Source organism: Homo sapiens, chromosome 6 (assembly GCF_000001405.40).
Source record: "Homo sapiens chromosome 6, GRCh38.p14 Primary Assembly".
NCBI lineage: Eukaryota > Metazoa > Chordata > Mammalia > Primates > Hominidae > Homo > Homo sapiens.
In genome coordinates, this window is record NC_000006.12 from 52,425,106 (window position 1) to 52,442,055 (window position 16,950).

At 37.4% G+C, this 16,950-nt stretch overlaps 1 protein-coding gene across 3 annotated transcripts in view; it reads left to right on the forward strand.

Annotated features, from left to right (window-relative positions):
• The window catches only part of EFHC1 (EF-hand domain containing 1), a 76,857-nt gene that overhangs the window by 4,764 nt on the left and 55,143 nt on the right, over nucleotides 1-16,950 (forward strand). For all 3 annotated transcript variants that reach the window (NR_033327.2, NM_018100.4, NM_001172420.2), the window contains one exon: nucleotides 13,199-13,486. Coding sequence is in view for 2 of the 3 variants with exons in the window: in NM_018100.4 (NP_060570.2) it covers nucleotides 13,199-13,486 (288 nt within the window). In the remaining variant the exon portion in view is untranslated. The remainder of the gene's footprint in view (nucleotides 1-13,198; nucleotides 13,487-16,950) is intronic.

Consider the following 16,950-nt stretch of genomic DNA (forward strand, 5'->3'; position numbering starts at 1 on the left):
TAAACAATTTCAGTCTCTCAACTAGAATCTGTATCATTTCCTCTTCCCCACTTAACTCATTTATAGGGACACATTCACATATGCATTCATAGGCCGAACCTAAACATCCACTAAACAGTATGATTTATATAATTGGATGTATCTTTTCCTTTTGCTTGTTTCTTTTGTTTATTTGTGGCTTTGACAGACATTGCAAAATCAGCAGAGAAGGGAGAGGGCTGAAAATACAAGAGAGAAGTGGGATAGGCACTAAATAATTACCAAGATATGAATCCTGGTATGTTTAATTTTTACTGAAAAGAATAGTAAGTAACTGTTATAAAGTAGAAGGTGATAAAGTGATATATGTCGTAAGAAAGTATTAGTAAAATTCAGAGGAGAAATTGCGCTTGAGTAGGAAATAGGCTTCCTATTTTTTGTTTTCTATGTTATTTTACACTAATTGTTGTTACTTAATTTGTACTTATTTAATATTCATAATTCATTTCTTTAAGGATAGTGCACATAAAAATATTATTTTTATTTTCCAATTCATTTTACTTGGATCATCACAATTTCTAGATAAATGAGCCTTAGCATAGATAATGGGGTAGAGAGAAGCTAAATGCATGACTTTGAAACTAAGTTTGTTTGTTTATAATAAGGGAATTATGGTTTCTCTGAATTAAATGAAGGTTCTAATTTTAAATGAAGGACCTCTAATACCCAGAGGTCCACATAATAGCCAACATATTTGTCTATATTTTGGAAATTCTTAGGACTGTTCCTCATAGACAGAATATAACTTCATTTCTTACTTAGGTAATAAAGACCAGGACATCTATTCCAAGTGCCCTCATCTTTTCCCCTTGCTCCTGTATAATTCCAGCATCACCTACTATATTGTGTTTCCCAGACTGACTTCCAGCTCTTTATTTCTGATGTTCTTCTTTCATCTTTTTCATCTTCAAGTTTCATATTATTTCTATTTCAGACACTCTAGTGACTGCTTCTCTAGCTAGAGTCATATCATCCTGTCCTCTTTCTATAATACCTTGTGATGCCTTTAAGCAAGATAACTTTGTTTCTCACTTGACTGTCAAATCACTTACAATCTGACTTCTCCCTACCCACAGCCCCAGAATACTTTCTCCTAGGTAGCCAGTGCTGTCCTTTTACCAGATCTAGAGAGGTTTACTTTGCCAGCATTGTCTTTGGCTTGTTTATGCCATCTGACACTGTTGACCCTTCCTCCCTTCTTGAAACTGTGCTCTTCTTTTGCCTCCATGACTCTCATTTTCCTCCTTCTTTCTATGTGGTTGCTTATTCTTTAGCCTCCCTTCCTCTTTTCAATTCTTAACTTACAAGTATTTTCAAGGCTCTATCTCATTCTTTATATAATTTTCTTGAGATCTCACCCACTTTCGTGATTTCAACCGTCACCTCACCGTAGAGAATGTCACTATTTAGTTCCAACTCTGACATCATTGAGACTCCAGATCTGTATCCCCCTGGCCCATGGGATATCTTCACCTGGATGAACTGTTGGTACCTCAAGTTCTGTATGTCTCTAACTTATCTCTATCCCTCACCTTTTCCCATAGATCTGCTTTCCCTGTGTGGTTCCACTAGGTAATCCAAGCTTGAAACCTGAGCCATCTTTGGCTTTTTCTCTCCTTTATCCTCCACACTTAATGAGTTGCCAAGTCAAATATCTCTCACTTTCATTTCCTCTGCCACTATCATAGTTCAGACAAGCCAAATGACTACCTAACTGTTGTTTTAGTCTCATTCCTAGTCCTTATGCTTATAACAGGTATGCTGCCTTGTTTATTCTCTAGAGTTCAGCTCTGATTATGTCATTTTTCTGGGAAAATGCCATCAGGCTTTCTTAACCAATACAGTAAACATTACCACCATTCACCTCACTGTGACATGAAAGTCATCTTTCATTCTTCTTTCCCCTCACAATCCACATCTAATCTATTAGCAAGTTCTATTGTTTCTGCTTCTAAAATATGTAACTAATTCATTTACTTATTTTCATCCTCACTATTACCATAAATTTATTTTCCACAGAGCAGCCAGGCTTATTTTTTGAAAATCAGATTATGTCACATACTGACTGAAACACTTCCATGGCTTCCCTATCATCTATAAAGATCCAACTCTACAGGTTCCTCACAGCCCTACTGGAGCTGGCCCTCCCTGCTCTCTCCCCAGCCTCATCTTGGGTCCTTTTTCTCACCTATCATGTTTCAATACATTGGATTTATTTTTACTGATTTCCTTGAAATGGCAGCATTTGAAAATTCCAATTCAGGGCCTTTTTGTACATGGCATTTCTCCTATCTGAAATAGCTTCCCCACCATCCTTAAGTGGCTGACTCCATCTTTCCTTTCAGTGAGGCTTTTCCTGGCCACTCTGCTATGGCAGTTCCTCCTCATTTTTCTATATCACTTCCCTCTCTTTTTTTTTTTTCCCCTTTGCAGCACTATATTATAATTTGTGTTGCTGATTTGTTTAGTGTTTATCTGTCCCACCTGAGTGTATACTTCATGAAGGTAAGGACTTATATAGTTTATTATATATTTAGTGCTCAATAAATATCAGTTCTAAAATGACATGAATAATTAACAAAATTTATTTCTTGTCTGTGTCACTGCTGAAAATTGGCAAGTCAAACACGTACCATATATGCTTATAATAATGTAAAATTAAAAATGTGACTTGGCTTTTTATAATTGTGTGTGATATGAAAATATTTATGCAGCATTTCCCCCCTTCATCTTGAAGTAAATACAAATATTTTTATGTTTATTGTGGCATTCTGAGCACTTCCTGGGAGTTAGAAGACCTGGATTCTAATTCTGGGTCTCCTACCAGCTAACATTGTGACCTTGTAGTCACAATCTCTAATTTCCTCGTCTATAAACTCAGAAGGTTAGAATACATGATAATCAGGAGCCCAGCCTGCTATAAAATTCCATGAAAAGTATATTTTTAAACACAGTATTTAAATATAATTTTTCTTTTCTTTCTACGTAACAATCAAGTTCTTATTCTACCTGGGAAAGCTGATGTTATCCCACTACTTTAAAAACAATTTTTTTTATTTCCATAGGTTACTGGGGAACAGGTCGTGTTTGGTTACATGAGTAAGTTCTATAGTGGTGATTTGTGAGATTTTGGTGCACCCATCACCCAGGCAGTATACAGTGCCCCCAATTTGTAGTCTTTTATCCCTCACCCCCTTCCCACCCTTTCCCCCTGAGTCCCCAAAGTTCATTGTGTCATTCTTATGCCTTTGCATCCTCATACCTTAGCTACCACTTATGAGTGAGAACATACAATGTTTGGTTTTCTATTCCTGAGTTACTTCACTTAGAATAATAGTCTCCAGTCTCATCCAAGTCACTGTGAATGCTATTAATTCATTCCTTTTTATGGCTAAATAGTATTCCATCATATATATCACATTTTCTTTGTCCACTTATTGATTGATGGGTATTTGGGTTGGTTCCATATTTTTGCAGTTGCAAATTGTGCTGCTATAAACATGCATGTACAAGTATCTTTTTTGTATGATGAGTTCTTTTCCAATGGGTAGATACCCAGTAGTGGGATTGCTGGATCAAATGGTGGTTCTACTTTTAGTTCTTTGAGGAATCTTCACACTTTTAGTTCTTTAAGGAATCTTCCATAGTGGTTGTACTAGTTTACATTCCCACCAGCAGTTCCCAGTTCATTGCATCCACACCAACATCTAATATTTTATGATGTTTTGATTATGGCCATTCTTGCAGGACTAAGATGATATCACATTGTGGTTTTGATTTACATTTCCCTGATCATTAGTGATGTTGAACATTTTTTCATATGTTTGTTGGCCATTTGTATATCTTCTTTTGAGAATTGTCTATTCATGTCCTTAGCCCACTTTTTGATGGGCTTCTTTGTTTTTCCTTGCTAATTTGTTTGAGTTCATTGTAAATTCTGGATATTAATCTTTTGTCAGATGTATAGATTATGAAGATTTTTTCCCACTCTGTGGGTTGTCTGTTTACTCTGTTGACTGTTCCTTTTGCCGTGAAAAAGCTCTTTAGGTTAATTAAGTCCCAGCTATATATCTTTGTTTTTATTGCATTTGCTTTTGGGTTCTTGGTCATGAAACCCTTGCCTAAGCCAATGTCTAGAAGAGGTTTTCCAATGTTATTTTCTAGAATTTTTATAGTTTCAGGTCTTAGATTTAAGTCCTTGATCCATCTTGAGTTGATTTTTATATAAGGTGAGAGATGAGGATCCAGTTTTATTCTCCTACTTGTGGCTTGCCAATTATCCCAGCACAATTTGTTGAATAGGGTGTCCTTTCCTCACTTTATGTTTTTGTTTGCTTTGTCAAAGATCAGTTGGCTGTAAGTATTTGGCTTTATTTCTGGGCTCTCTGTTCTATTCCATTGGTCTATGTGCCTATTTTTATACCAGTACCATGCTGTTTTGGTAACTATGGTCTTATAGTATAGTTTGAAATCAGGTAGTGTGATGCCTCCAGGTTTATTCTTTTTGCTTATTCTTGCTTTGGCTATGCGGGCTCTTTTTAGGTTCTATATGAAGTTTAGGATTGTTTTTTCTAATTCTGTGAAGAATGATAGTGGTATTTTGATGGGAATTGCATTGAATTTTTAGATTGCTTTTGGCAGTATGGTCATTTTCACAATGTTGATTCCCACCCTATCAGCATGGAATGTGTTTCCATTATTTGTTTCATTATTTGTGTCATCTGTTATTTCTTTCAGCAGTGTTTTGTAGTTTTCCTTGTAGAGGTCTTTCACCTCCTTGGTTATGTATATTTCTAAGTTTTTGTTTGTTTGTTTGTTTTTCAGCTATTGTAAAAGGGGTTGAGTTCTTGATTTGATTCTCAGCTTGGTCGCTGTTGGTGTAAAGAAGAGCTACTGATATGTGTATATTAATTTTGTATCCAGAAACTTCGCTGAATTCTTTTATCAGTTCTAGGAGCTTTCTGGAGGAGTCTTTAGGATTTTCCAGGTAAACAATCATATCATCAGTGAACAGTGACAGTTTGACTTCTTTACCTATTTGGATGACCTTTATTTCTTTCTGTTGTCTGATTGCTCTGCCTAGGACTTCTTCTAGTACTGTGCTGAAGAGGAGTGGAGAGAGTGGGCATCCTTATGTTGTCCCAGTTCTCAGAGGGAATGCTTTCAACTTTTCCCCATTCAGCATTATGTTGGCTGTGGGTCTGTCATAGATGGCTTTTATTACATTGAGGTATGTCCCTTGTATCAATTTTGCTGAGAATTTTAATCAGAAAGGGGTACTAGATTTTGTTGATTGCTTTTTCTGCATCTATTGAGATGATCGTGTGATTTTTGTTTTTAATTCTGTTTATGTGGTGTATCACATTTATTGACTTGCGTATGTTAAATCATCCCTGCATCCCTGGTATGAAAACCACTTAATCGTGGTGGATTATCTTTTTCATATGTTGTTGAATTCGGTTAGCTAGTATTTTGTTAAGGATTTTAGCATCTATGTTCATCAGGGATATCAGTCTATAGTTTTATTTTTTGGTTATGTCCTTTCCTGGTTTTGGTATTAGGGTGATACTGCCTTCATAGAATGATTTATGGAGGATTCCCTCTTTCTCTATCTTGTAGAATAGTGCCAATAGTACCAGTTTTTCTTTGAATATCTGGTAGAATTCTTCTGTGAATCTGTCTGGTCCTGGACTTTTTCCTGCTGGTAGTTTTTTAATTATTTCAGTCTTGCTGCTTGTTGTTGGTCTGTTCAGGGTATCTAATTCTACCTGAATTAAGCTAGCAGGGTTTTATCTTTCAGGAATTTATCTATCTACTCTAGTTTTCTAGTTTATGTGCGTAAAGGTGTTCATAGTAGCCTTGAATGACCTTTTGTATTTCTGTGGTGTCAGTTGTAATATCTTCCATTTTGTTTCTAATTGAGCTTATTGGATTTTCTCTCTTCTTTTCTTGGTTAATCTTGCTAATGGTCTATCAATTTTATGTAGCTTTTCAAAGAACCAGCTTTTTGTTTCATTTATCTTTTGTTTTTTTTGTTTGTTTATTTCAATTTCATTTGTTTCTGCTTTGATCTTGGTTATTTTCTTTCTTCTGCTGGGTTTGGGTTTGGTTTGTTCTTGTTTTTCTAGTTCCTTGAGGTGTGGCCTTAGATTGTCTGTTAGTGCTCTTTCAGACTTTTTGATGTAGGCGTTTTGGGGTTTGAACTTTTCTCTTAGCACTGCCTTTGCTGTATCCCAGAGGCTTTGATAGGTTGTGTCATTATTGTCATTCAGTTCGAATGATTGTTTAATTTCCATCTTGATTTTATTTTTGACCCAAAGCTCACTTAGGAGCAGGTTATTTAATTTCCATGTATTTGCATGGTTTTGAAGGTTCCTTTTGGAGTTGACGTCCAATTTTATTCCACTATGGTCTGAGAGAGTGCTTGATATAATTTCAATTTTCTTAAATTTATTGAGGCTAATTTTGTGGCCTATCATATGGTCTGTCTTGGAGAAAGTTCTATGCGCTGTTGAATAGAATGTATATTCTGCGGTTGTTGGGTAGAATGTTTTGTAAATATATTAAGTCCATTTGTTCCAGGGTATAGTTTAAATCCATTGTTTCTTTGTTGACTTTCTGTCTTGGCCTGGCTAGTGCTATCAGTGGAGTATTGAAGTCCCCCCCTATTATTATGTTGCTGTCTATCTCATTTCTTAGGTCTATTAGTAATTGTTTTATAAATTGGGTGCTCCAGTGTTAGGTGCATATATATTTAGGATTATGACATTTTCCTGTTGGACAGGTCTTTTATCATTATATAATGTCCCTCTTTGTCTTTTTTAATTGCTGTTGCTTTAAAGTTTGTTTTGTCTGATACAAGAATAGCCACTCCTGCTCACTTTTGGTGTCCATTTGCATGGAGTTTCTTTATCCACCCCTTTACCTTAAATTTACATGAGTCCTTATGTATTAGGTGAGTCTCTTGAAGGCAGCAGATGGTTGGTGAATTCTTATCCATTCTGCGATTCTGTATCTTTTAATTGGAGCATTTAGGCTATTTACATTCAACATTAGTATTAAGATGTGAGATACCATTCTGTTCATCGTGGTATTTGTTGTCTGTATACCTGGATTTTTTGTTTTTTGTTTTTAATTGTATTTTTGTTTTATAGGTCCTGTGAGATTTATGCTTTAAAGAGGTTCTGTTTTGATGTGTTTTGATTTGTTTCAAGATTCAGAGCTCTTTTTAGCAGTTCTTGTAGTGCTAGCTTGGTAGTGGCAAATTCTCTCAGAATTTGTTTTTCTGAAAAAGACTGTATCTTTCCTTCATTTATGAAGCTTAGTTTCACTGAATACAAAATTCTTGGCTGATAATTCTTTTGTTTAAGGAGGCTGAAGATAGGGCCCCAATCCCTTCTAGCTTGTAGGGTTTCTGCTGAGAAACTGCTATTAATCTGATAGGTTTTCCTTTATAGGTTACCTGGTGCATTTGCCTCACAGCTCTTAAGATTCTTTCCTTCATCTTAACTTTAAATAACCTGAGGAAAGTGTGCCTAGGTGATGATCTTTTTGTAGTGAATTTCCCAGGTATTCTTTGAGCTTCTTGTGTTTGGATGTCTAGAGAAGTTTTCCTTGATTATTCCCCCAAATATGTTTTCCAGACTTTTAGATTTTTCTTCTTCAGGAATGCTGATTATTCTTAGGTTTGGTTATTTAACATAATCCCAAACTTTTTAGAGGCTTTGTTCATATTTTCTTATTCTTTTTTCTTTGTCTTTGTTGGATTGGGTTAATTAGAAAACCTTGTCTTTGAGCTCTGAAGTTCTTTCTTCTGCTTGTTTGATTCTATTGCTGAGACTTTCCAGAGCAGTTTGCATTTCTATAAGCACATCCATTGTTTCCTGAAGTTTTTATTGTTTTTTATTTATGCTATTTCATTGAAAAAAATTTCCCTTCACTTCTTGTATCTTTTTTATTTCCTTAAATTGGGCTTTGCCTTTCTCTGGTGCCTTCCTGATCAGCTTAATAACTAACCTTCTAAATTATTAGGTAAATTAGGGATTTCTTCTTGGTTTCAATCTATTGCTGGTGAGCTAGTGTGATTTTTGGGGGCATTAAAGAACCTTGTTTTGTCATATTACCAGAGTTGGTTTTCTGGTTCCTTCTCATTTGGGTAGACTCTATCAGAGGGAAGGTATAGGGCTCAAGGCTGTTGTTCAGATTCTTTTGTCCCACGGGGTGTTCCCTTGATGTAGCATTCTCTCCCTTTTCCTATGGATGTGGCTTTCTGAGAGCCGAGCTGTAGTGATTGTTATCTCTCTTCTGGATCTAGCCATCCAGCAAGTCTGCCAGGCTCCAGGCTGGTACTGGGGGTTGTCTGCACAGAGTCCTGTGCTGTGAGCCGTCTGTGGGTCTCTCAGCCATAGATACCAGCACCTGCTCCAGTGGAGGTGGCAGGGGGGTGAAACGGACTCTGTGAGGGTCCTTAGCCTTGGTTGTTTAATGTACTATTTTTGTGCTGGTTGGTCTCCTGCCAGGAGGTGGTGTTTTCAAGATAGCATTAGCTGTGGTAGTATGGGGGGAACAGGCAGTGGGTGGGCCCCTAGAACTCCCAAGAGTATATGCCCTTTGTCTTCAGTTACCAGGGTGGGTAGGGAAGGACCGTTAGGTTGGGGCAGGGCAAGATGTGTTTGAGCTCAGACTCTCCTTGGGCAGGTCTTGCTGTGGCTGCTGTGGAGGATGGGGGTGAGGGTCTGAGGTCAATGGAGTTGTGTTCCTAGGAAGATTATGGCTGCCTCTACTGTATACTTCAGGTTGTCAGGGAAGTGGGGGAAAGCCAGCAGTCATAGACCTCACCCAGCTCCCATGCAACCCAAAGGTCCAATCTCACTCCCACTGTCCCGCCCCTCTCCAACAGCACCAAGTCTGTTTCCAGGCAGTGGGTGAGCAAGGCTGAGAACTTGCCCCAGGCTACCTGCCTCCCAGCTTTGAAAGCAAGTGGGGCTTTCCTTCTTCCCCCACCTGTGGAATCTGTACACTGGATTCACACCTTCTCCCGAGTTCTGGCCAGGAGACTTCTCAATTGGTTCAAATCATTACACAGTTCAGCTGGAGGTTCCCTTCTTCCTGTGGCCTTTTCCCAGTGCCTCTGGCTGCCCTCCCCAAGTACCCCTGTGAAGCAAGGCAGAAATGGCTTGGTAGGGGACCCCAGGGAGACCATAGGACTTTTCCCGCTGCTTCCTCTACCCCCGTATTTCACTCGCCTCTCTGAATTGACCCAGCTCCAGGTAAGGTCAGAATCTTCTCCTGTAATCTAGACCTTCAGGTTCCTCAGTGGGGGTGTGTGTTCGGGGACAGATGATCTCCCTTTCCCACTTCCATAGTTTGGGCACTCACAGTATTTGGGGTGTCTCCCGGGTCCTACAAGAGCAATTTGCTTCCTTCAGAGGGTCTGTGGATTCTCTCTGCTTACCTAATTTATTCCTGCAGTCATCCTGGAGCAAAAAAGCTCACAGTGCAAGCCTTCACACGCTGCTCTGCCCGTCTGAGTGGGAGCTGCAATCTAGTCCTACCTTCCATCTGCCATGATTCCAGGGAAACTTTCCAAAGAGCTTTTCTACATTAACTCTTCTATCCCATTCATTCTTTGTGGGAGGAGCACAGAACTCTTAATTCTGTTCTTAATAAATAGATAAGTGCCTTTTAAAAATTAACAATTAAGTAATTCTTTTCGGTTAGCATATTCTTTACCTGAGACCATATATATATATATATATACATACACACATATAACAAGACCATATATATATGTGTATCTCCTTGCCTCCCATTCTCAGGCCAACTTCCTGTTGCCATAGGCATTTTCATGCCCACCAATCTTAGAAAACAGATGGTTTGGGAGCATGGCTGTGGCCACAGACTTGATCTTTGGTTATCTTCTCTGTGATTCTCTTCTCACTCCTTTGGTGAGTTGTCCAGGTTCATGGCTTGAAATGTCCTCTTTATGATGATAAGTTGTCCTCTAAACATATGTATACATAAATGCCTATTTGCCATCTCATCTTGAATGTCTAATAAATATCTCAAATTAAGCATATCTAAAACTGAACTCCCAATTTTGTCTTCTTACCCCCAAAATCTGTTCTGCAGCAATCTTCTTCATATCAATTTGATAGTAATTCTATGCTTTCAGTTGCTTGGCCAAAAATGTTTGCATTATCCTTGAATGTTCTGTAATATTTACTTCTTCCCCTAAACCCAGTCCTGCAGTATAAATTACCCCCTGCAGTATACAACTTGTGCTGTCACTTAAATTCAGTAAGTCTAAAATCAAACTCACCATCTGCCATACCCAAATTATCTTCTCCTTATGTTTACATTTCTATGAGATCACCACTATATCGCCAGCACTGGGTTTTCCTCAACACCTCATCTGCTTCCACCTTCCCACTTCCTTACTATCAATCCAGTCAGACTTCTGCTTTTCCATTGCTGGTAATTAATTACTGCAGACCTGGACTATTGAAGGGGCTTCCAGTCTGATTGCCATGCCTAGTACTTCCTCCTCCATCATAGCCTGCATACTGCTGCTGGGTTTCCTTCCTCTGCTTCTGTTATTACCACTGCTTAGAAGCCCCCCTTGTATCCTCTGCTGATCTAAAATCTTTCACTCTTCAAGTCTAATACATCTTTTGTTTCCTCCTAGTTAAGCTTTCTCTGACCACTTTAGTCCACACAGATTCCTTCTTGGAACCACGATAGCATTTGTTACCTGAGAAGTAGCAAGATGTGTGGAGAGAATATTGGGTTGTGAGTTAATAGTCTGAATTTCAGTTCCAGTTCTGGCCCTAACCCCTTACATGGCCTCAGGCACGCCACCTTACCACCCTGGGTCTCAGTTTCCTCCTTTATAAAATAAGTGGGGTTGGGCTAGCTGATCAGTTCAGCTTTAACATTTTATGTATTTATAAATATATGGCTCAGATACAGGCCATTTTATATATGAATTACTATGATCATGTCCCCCCTTTCAGTTCTTTGCAGTTGATCTAAAATGTTACTTCAACATTATCTGTCCTTTGCTTTTACCATGTTATTTTTCTCCTTCAAACATTCCACTGCACTTATCCATTTTATCTTTTTATTATGAGTTTTAAGGCCTTCATTATATTCACATTTCTCCTATGCACTTGTATGCACTTGCCAGTTCTCTTGGTTTTTATCTTGTTTTTCCACAGTAGTTACGCTACCCATTTTTTTTTTTAGCAACAGTGTCCGTGTATAGAATTATTTCATCTTTCCATTTATCAAGCCATATTTCTGTTTCATTTAGGATCTTCTTGATTTGTTCCTCTTATTCTAGTAGAGGCTTGGGTAAACTATCTTGCCTGCTTAGAATCCCATTCTAATACTTTCTCTCCTTGAAAAGACACATTAAAAACAGAGACAAAATAACAGAAATTTAAAAATCCCAAAGCATGTTAACATATTCTTTTTATAATATTGTTTTATGCTTTTTATTTTTTATTTTTTTGAGATGGAGTTTCACTCTGTCACCCACGCTGGAGTGCAGTGGCGCTAACTCAGCTCACTGCAGCCTCCACCTCCTGGGTTCAAATGATTCTCCTACCATAGCCTCCCAAGTAGGTGGAATTACAGTTGCCCACCACCAAGCCTGGCTAATTTTTGTATTTTTAGTACAGACGGGGTTTCACCATGTTGGCCAGACTGGTCTCAAACACCTTAACTCAGGTGATCTGCCTGCCTTGGCCTCCCGGTGTGCTGGGATTACAGGCGTAAGCCACCACGCCTGGCATAGTTTATGTTTTTTAAATGTGTAATCTATATATTGATACCATGTTGACTTCACATTGATGATGATGCTCCCCAGAGGACCAATGGTTTGCTCAATGTAATATATATGTTCCTGAGCACAAGGAGGGTATTTACACACGTTTTAGAGATTGTATAGCGGATTGATGATGAGGGTATGTACACACCCTTCAAAGATTCTGTAGTGGATTGATGATGTGAAAGTCATTCATATAAAGTTTATAATAATGAACGTAATTAATATACATTTACAAAGGACTACACTTCTAAAGAAGTGCAATTAACCCTTCATTTTCAGTTTGAAACCAAAAATCGCAATCTTATCCAAGATTTTTTACTCTTCCCAGAAGTTCTGGGAGGGACTTTTGACATGGAGGTGAAGCTAGTAGAGTTAAGTCCTTTAAGATGTATTCTCACCAAGGAACATATGCAATAAATAGTTTATACACATTGTGAGTATTTAAAGCAGATGTCAGCAAACTTTTTCTGTAAAGGGCAGTTAGCGTATATTTTGGCCATTGCAGTGGTTTTAGCCTGCGTAGTCTGCCACAACAAAATACCACAGATTGAGTGGTTTAAATAATAGAATTTATTTTCTCACAGTTCTGGAGGTTGGAGGTCCAAGATCAAGGTGCCAGCTGGTTTGAATTCTGGTGAGGGCTCTCTTCCTGGCTTGCATACAGCGGTCTTCTTGCTATGTCTTCATGTGGCCTTACCTTGGTGTGTACATGTGGGAGTTAGGGGAGGGAAGTAACTCTCTTTCTCTTCTTCTCTTCTAAGGCAACCAGTTCTATGGGATTAGACTTAAAGGTGGCATACCTCTATCCTTAAGATCTGGTTTAACCTTAATTACCTCCTAAGGATCCTGTCTCCAAATATAGTCACATTGAGGGTTAGGGGTTCAACATATGAATTTTGGGGATGAGGGGGACACAATTTAGTCTGTGTATCTCTGTCACAACTATTCAACTCTTCCCTTGTAATGGGAGAGCAGCTGTTAACAAAAAAGCGTAAATTATTTACATAATTATTTGTGGATTGAAAATTTAAATTTTTATAATTTCCATGTGTTATGAAACATTTTTTAAAATTTTTTAAACCATTTAAATATGTAAAACCCACTCTTAGCTTGCAGGTCATAAAAAAAACAGGTGGCAGGTTAGATTTGTCCCATGGACTATAGTTTGCAGTATCTGTAGTTTTAGAGTATCAAGATTTACAGGATAGAAGTGATGAGTGTTAAAATCTCCCTGTGTGGTTCTGTTTTCAGGAAGGTACTTGATATTTTTCAGATGACTATGACAAGCTAATAGTACACCATTTCTCCTTTCCTTGTATGTTATAGGTACTGAAATTTGATGCCTATTTCCAAGAAGATGTTCCTATGTCAACTGAGGAACAGTATAGGATCCGTCAGGTGAACATTTACTATTATCTAGAAGATGACAGCATGTCTGTCATAGAGCCTGTTGTAGAAAATTCTGGAATCCTTCAAGGCAAGTTAATAAAACGCCAGCGGCTAGCCAAGAATGACCGGGGTGACCATTACCATTGGAAAGACCTAAATCGAGGAATAAACATCACAATTTATGGCAAAACTTTCCGCGTTGTTGACTGTGACCAATTCACACAGGTATAGCATATATTTTTGAAAGTTGTGGGGTCTGAGGCATCATTCTAATTTATAGAAGGATACATTTCATTTATTAGGGTAAGGGGAGGACATTGGTAATCTGTCCTGCATGAATTATTATGAATGGCTAGGTATTTGCATGTGTGTATGTGCTAATATGTGCCAACACTAATAGTAACATAATTTTTTCAGAATGATATTAATACTTATTCACTCAAAATCAAACTCTCATCATAGCTGAATAATTTGGTAAGAAACCAGGTTAAAATGGCAGTTCAAACAGGGAGTAGGGGAATAGCATCCCTGCTGGGATGTAAGTATGGAAGAGGGATTAAACGTTTTATCTTAAGTGTGAGTTTACAAAAATAGCACTACTTCTATTAGCAGATATGAGCCTAAAATTTTTTGTGTAGCTCATATATTTTTGGTAAATGATACTTGCTATATTCTAGGAAAGCTTACCATCTAAAGAATTTCTGAAATGAAACCATTTTTAAATGAAAAAACCTCTTCTATATGTAAAAAGTCCTCTATTTCGTAAGTTTGGATTTTTTAATACAAAGGAAACTTTTATTAAAGTTACATGCATAGAGGATATAGGTGGCCTTTCTTTACTACAAAGTGTAGGAATTAGGAAGTCAATTCCAAATTTGTCTTAGTTAAAAAAATATTTCTAGCAGCAAAGATATAGTTTCTGAAGTATTTTATGTCCCTATTCCAGGATACCTAGTGCCATATGTGACTAATTTTTACCATGCACTGAGCTCCTATGAATCCATTATTGTTTTCATTTAGTAGTTTGTTTAACAGATATTTATTTGCATGCCTGCTTTGTTCCATGCACTGTTCTAGGTGCCAGATGTTTTCAGGAAGGTACTTGATATTTTTCAGATGACTATGACAAGCTAATAGTGCACCATTTCTCCTTTCCTTGCATGTTATAGGTACTTGCCCCTATAGAGGTTCCAATCTTGTTGGAGGAGATAAGCAATAGCAAATAAATAGATTGGTTATATGTCAGATGATGATAACAGCAATGGAGGAAAATAAAGCTGAGTAAAGGGAATGGAAGTTGAGGGGCTCTTTATAGAGGCGGATCAGAGAATGCCTCAGTGATAAGATGACATATGAATAGAGGCCTGAAGGAAGTAAAGAAAGGAGCCATGGCATCAGTGCCATTCCAAAGCAATAGAGAAAAATAGCTTCAAAAGTAGAGGTGCTAGACCATCTTTGAGATATTCTCCCGTTCCAACATATTTTTATCTCTTTGCTTTTTAGGTGTCTGAGGTCTTATATATCATAGGCAGTTTCACAATTGTACCAACAGTGAGAAATGATAAAATGTTATCTAAACATAAATGTATTAACAATTATTTTTACAGTTGTGTTTTCATAACAATTATTTTTACAGTTGTGTTTTTATGGGCAATTTGAACATTTGCAAGTTAATCACTGAGCGTTTGACCTAATCTATTTATAGTCGGTTCTCATTATTGACAGTAATTAGGACTATAAAGTCACCACAAACACTGAATTAGTGAATACTGAACCACTAGTCTTAGAGGAAATACAGGGTTAGGTTCCCACTAATCTCTGGCCACATTTTTGTCAACTGATCAATACATAAGTTTGATTCATGTATGTTTCTGTTTAAAGACACCTTATTTAATATATACGGTTGATTCATTAACATTAAACTCACACCCAACAGCACTATAACTCACGTCTGAACAAAGCTTATCTAAGACATGCATTTTCTCCATGAGGTGTGTTACAGCCTTCTTGTGCTTAGGAACACTAAATAGCACTTCATCACTAGGCACTGGGACCCTTTAAACAGCAAAATCACCAACAAAAAACACAAAAATGCAAAAAATCTGGCACCTTCATGTATATGTATATGTATGTGTATATGTATCACATTTTCTTTTTCCAGTTTACCATTGATGGGCATTCAGGTTGATTCCATGTCTTTGCTATTATGAATAGTGCTGCGATGAACATACTTGCGGGTATGTCTTTATGGCAGAATGATTTATATTCCTTTGGGTATATACCCAATAATGAGATTCCTAGGTCAAATGGTAGTTCTGTTTTCAGGTCTTTTAGGAATCACTACACTGCTTTCTACAATGGTTGAACTAATTTATACTCTCATCACCAGTGTATAAACATTTCTTTTTCTCCACAACCTTGACAGCACCTGTTATTTTTTTACTTTTTAATAATAGCCATTCTGACTGGTGTGAGATGATATTTCATTGTGGTTTTGATTTGCATTTCTCTAATGATAGTGATGTTGAGCTTTTTTTTCATATGGTTATTGGCCATGTGTATGTCTTCTTTTGAGAAGTGTCTGTTCATGTCCTTTGCCCACTTTTTAATGGGGTTCTTTGCTTTTTTTCTTGTAAATTAAAGTTTCTTATAGATGGTGCATATTGGACCTTTGTCAGATGCATAGTTTGCAAATATTTCTTTCCCATTCTTTAGATAGTCTTTTTACTCTGTTGATGCTTTCTTTTGCTCTGCGGAAGCTCTTACGTTTAATTAGATACCATTTGTCAATTTTTGCTTTTGTTGTGATTGCTTTTGGTGTCTTTGTCATGAAATCTTTGCCCATTCCTATGTTTAGAATAGTGTTGCCTTGGTTGTCTTCCAGGGTGTTTATAGTTTTGGGTTTTACATTTAAGTCTTTTATCTATCTTGAGTTGATTTTTATATCTGGTGTAAGATATATGGCTAGCATATGGCTAGCAGGTTATCCCAGCACCTTTCCCCATTGCTTATTTTTGTCAACTTTGTTGAAGATCACATAATTATAGGTGTGTAGCCTTATTTCTGAGCTCCCTATTCTATTCCATTGGTCTATGTGTCTGTTTTTGTACCAGTACTGTACTGTTTTGGTTACTGTAGCCCTGTAGTATAGTTTGAAGGCAGGTAACATGATGCCTCCAGCTTTGTTCTTTTGCTTAGAATTGCCTTGACTATTCAGGCTCTTTTTGGGTACCATTGAATTTTAAAGTATTTTTTTCTAGTTCTGTGAAGAGTGTCACTGGCAATTTGATAGGAATAGCATTGAATCTGTACATTGCTTTGGGCAGTATGGTGACTGTAAAGATATTGATTTTTCGTATCCATGAGCATGTAATGTTTTTTCATTTGCTTGTGTTATCTCTGATTTCCTTAAGCAGTGTTTTGTAATTCTCATTGTAGAGATCTTTCATCTCCCTGGTTAGCTGTATTCCTAGGTATCTTATTCTTTTTGTGACAGTTGTAAATGGGATTGTGTTCCTGATTTTACTCTCAGCTTGGCTGTTGTTGGTGTATAGGAGTGCTAGTGATTTTTGTATGTTGATTTTGTGTCCTAAAATTTTGCCGAAGTTGTTTATTAACTTAAGGAGTTTTTGGGATGAGGCTCTGGAGTTTTCTAGATATAGAATCATGTTTTCTCCAAACAGGGATAG